Raw genomic sequence first — 3,766 nt, 5'->3', positions numbered from 1 at the left:
ACCAAGGCACCGCGCGTGCGGACTGATCTTCCTCACCCCCGGCAGAGGGCGCCCTTCTCCCGCTCCAGCGCCCCGCCGGGCGAGCCCCTCCAGCCGCGCCCTGAGCCCTGCCTCGTCCAGGCCGGGTCTCCAGCGCCAGGTGCCTGCAGCCCTACACTGGGAGAATTACAAAGCTACTTCTGTCTGACATTGGGCACAGCCTTTGAATGTCCCGTTCCTTTTGCTCCTAGCTGACTTACTGCTCATTTTTATTTTCCTAAGTGAATATTGAAACTTATTTGCATTTTATGGAGCTCCTGGTAACAGAGGGATCTTACCTGGCAGGGTGAGAATCCCGCTAAGGAAGTTGGCTCAGGACGGAGGTTCTCGCCAGGGCTCACCCACAAAGGGAATAATCCTATCTATGAGACAAATAATTTCCTTTAAAGCTTGCAAAGGGGGGCGGACGCGGTCGCTCTTGCCTGTAATCCCAACACTTTGGGAGGCTGAGGCCGGCGGATCACTTCAGGTCAGGAATTCGAGAGCAGCCTGGCCAACATGGTGAAACCCGGTCTCTACCAAAAATACAAAAATTAGCTGGGCGTGGTGGCTCGTGCCTGTAATCCCAGCTACTCGGAGGCTGAGACAGGAGAATCACTTGAACCTGGGAAGCAGAGCTTGCAGTGAGCCAAGATCGTGCCACTGCACTCCAGCCTGGGCCACAGAGCCAGACTCTGTCTCAAAAAACAAACAAACAAACAAACAAACAAACGGGTTTTCCTGTGTCAAGCTTAACCGATTCTATTTATCTCTTTCCTCTTCATGAAAAGGTTGATTTATTCATTTCTCAACCGATATTTTACTGAGTACCTTCTGTGTGCCAGGTACCAGGGTGAAAAAGGCAGAGTTGATTCCTGGTTTGGGTGGAGCCGATGGTCTAATAAGGGAAGATATATTGAATAAACACGTTAATTGGTCATACCTAAGATAAACGCTACACAGGAAAAACAGAGACTTCTGGAGGAGGCTGCAACAGGGAACCAGCTGAAGTCCTCAGCTGAATCTCAGGCATCCTTTCCCTCCTAGAAGCTCTCTTCTCACTTCCTGCTGCTGCAAACTGATAAAAATAATAGCCTCCCAGAAGCGGATGGTGAGTCAGTGCATTCAAGGCTGCACATCCCCAGGTGAGGTAACAAGAGTCAGGGTCTGGCTGAAATCTCCTCTCCCCGTTCGCACTCCTGGGCTGAGTGCCACTCGGCAAGGCGTGAGCCATTTTGCATGATGAAGTCCACATTACAGATTTCTTCTGACACCTGATGACTAACAAGGTCTGAAAACAACAAGACACCTCTAGGCGCTGCATCCTCCTCCTCCTCTTCAGTGTTTATGGAACACCTCCTAGGTATTGGGTGGGTGTTTTGTGCCAAGGATGCAAGCAAAACATTAGAGACAAAAGGAGGAATAGAATATGCCAAAGGCCAAGGAGGGTATGAACTAGTGGTTCCCAGAGTTTGAGCTTTTATGAGCAGCTAAAAGTGAGAGCTTTATTAACTAGGATCAGACATTGATAATTAGGTCAAAGGATAAAAGAGGTTCAGCCTAACAGTGGCCTAAACAAGACAGAAAATAAAAGTTTATCTCTATCATGAGAGTCCACAGTCCAGAGTCTCACTGAGTAAGGGAAAGGTGAGGGTGAGCGCTTTGCTGCCCTTCCTGTGATATTCTCAAAGGAAAGACGGGGGAGAAAGAGGAGACTCACACAATCCATTCTCCACCCCGCAGCTGCAGCCTGCGTACTCTTTGAAATATGTCATTCAGATCGTTATCCTGCTTCTCATCTTCCTGTGGCTTTCCATAACTGGCCAGAAGCCCTCCCACAACCCCCACCGCCCTGCCTGCCTCCACCACCTGCTCCTCGCTCATCGCACTCTGGCTGTAGCGCCTGCCTTCTTTCTGCAACTTGCACACGCCAAGCTCTTCCTAAAGCTATGCCTATGCATGCACAATGTCCTCTGGTTGGAAGGCCCTTTCTGCAGCTCCTTCTATGGCTTGTGCATCTCCACCTTAGGCCTTAGTTCAAGTATCTATCACCTCCTCAGAGCACCCTTCCCTCAAGCCCTGGTGGGCAGTGGCTCTGCCACCTACATAGCCTCATAGTCACTCCCTCTCTCATGTTCCTGATTATGTCTTTTTCTTTTAAGAGACAAGGTCCACTCTGTCATCTAGGTTAGAGTGCAGTGCATGATCATAGCTCAGTGCAGCCTTGAACTCCCTGGCTCAAACGATCCTCACACCTCAGCCTCCTGAGTAGCTAGGACTACAGGTGTGTGCTACCACGCCTGGCTAATTTTTAAATTTTTTGTAGAAATGGAGTCTCACTGTGTTGCCCAGGTTGGTCTCTAACTCCAGTCCTTAAGCGATCCTCTGACCTCAGCCTCCCAAAGTTTTGGAATTACAGGCATGAGCCACTGTGTCAGGTCCCTGATTGTGTCCTTGATAGGATTTACCACAATCTGAAGCCATCTCGTTTGTTTGCTTGCTGGCTCTTTGTAAGTGTATGACCTCCTTGAGTAAAGGAACCTTGTCTGTCACGCTCACTTCTCTAGCCCCAGTGACCAAAAAGATGTCTGGGAACGGTGTCACACATGCTCTGCAAATTTGTGACAGATGAACTGAATAGGAAAGAAGGATAAATTCTTTCCAACTCTGTCAAAGATGCTGTTCCATGCTCTAACTGAAGTCAGAAGGTCTGAAGTCTGAGGTTTGTTGAAGGCTTTCACTGACTTAGATAAATCTAGTATGGTAGTAAAGTTGGCGTGTTCCACAACAGATAAGCCATAAGCTGAGACATTTATATCAACTCTTGTGTCCCAGCTCCATCCCCAACACACCAGGAGCTCCAGTATTTAAAATATGCTTTTCCTAAGAGTGAGAGGTTTGAGATTTCACATGCCTGAGTCATCTTCATGGCAGACCTGACTGGGGCTCGTTTGCATTATGTGGAAATGATCTTTGGGGGTGTGAGGCTGTTGATGAAAGAAAGCCTTTAGCATCTGTGTCTTTTTCGTAAGGCTGGAGCACCCACTGGCTTTGTTCCATATTGAACAGACATTTAGAGACATCCTTTTTTATTTTTTTATTTTTATTTTTGTTTTTTGAGATGGAGTCTTGCTCTGTCATCCAGGCTGGAGTGCAGTGGCACGATCTTGGCTCACTGTGACCTCCGCCTCCTGGGTTCAAGCGATTCTCCTGCCTCAGCCTCCTGAGTAGCTGGGATTGCAGGCGCCTACCACCACGCCTGGCTAATTTTTTTTATTTTTAGTAGAGACAGGGTTTCACCATGTTGGCCAGGCTAGTCTCGAAAGTTTGACCTCAAGTGATCGGCCCACCTCGGCCTCCCAAAGTGTTGGGATTACAGGCATGAGCCACCGTGCCCGGCAGGAGACATCCCTTAATAAACCTGGTTTGACCGAAGAGTTATCTCTGGAGAGGCTTTTTTTTTTTTTTTTTTTTTTTTTCCCTGACAGCATTCTTTTGTGATCACAGAAAACCTCCGAGGCTATTCAGGAAAGAGGGGCCAGCTGACTTGCTGGCGCTGGGAGAAATTAACCCCCATCATCAAAAAGACTTTCTATTGCATATTGTAAAATTTAAAAACTCTCGGGGAATACTGTGACCCTGTCTTTAAAACATGCATCTAAACAACCCAAATGTCAATTGATATGAATGAATAAACAAAATATGGTATATACATACAATGAAATATTATTTAACCTTAAAAAGGAAT

The 3,766-nt window shown here is 47.5% G+C and overlaps 3 annotated features.

Annotated features, from left to right (window-relative positions):
• Positions 14-522: an enhancer, noted in NCBI's record as "H3K4me1 hESC enhancer chr12:94494867-94495375 (GRCh37/hg19 assembly coordinates)". NCBI's record gives its function as "activates a minimal SCP1, AML or CMV promoter by ChIP-STARR-seq in naive H9 embryonic stem cells {active_cell/tissue: H9 hESC(naive)}" and the evidence as "EXISTENCE:reporter gene assay evidence [ECO:0000049][PMID:30033119]".
• Positions 523-1,032: an enhancer, noted in NCBI's record as "H3K4me1 hESC enhancer chr12:94494357-94494866 (GRCh37/hg19 assembly coordinates)". NCBI's record gives its function as "activates a minimal SCP1, AML or CMV promoter by ChIP-STARR-seq in naive H9 embryonic stem cells {active_cell/tissue: H9 hESC(naive)}" and the evidence as "EXISTENCE:reporter gene assay evidence [ECO:0000049][PMID:30033119]".
• Positions 2,806-3,100: a silencer, noted in NCBI's record as "tiled region #9295; HepG2 Repressive non-DNase unmatched - State 23:Low". NCBI's record gives its function as "represses a minimal TATA promoter and a strong SV40 promoter by Sharpr-MPRA in HepG2 cells {active_cell/tissue: HepG2}" and the evidence as "EXISTENCE:reporter gene assay evidence [ECO:0000049][PMID:27701403]".

This window comes from Homo sapiens, chromosome 12, assembly GCF_000001405.40.
Source record: "Homo sapiens chromosome 12, GRCh38.p14 Primary Assembly".
NCBI lineage: Eukaryota > Metazoa > Chordata > Mammalia > Primates > Hominidae > Homo > Homo sapiens.
The sequence above is the reverse complement of the archived record's forward strand: the minus strand, read 5'-3'. Positions and strand labels throughout refer to the sequence as shown.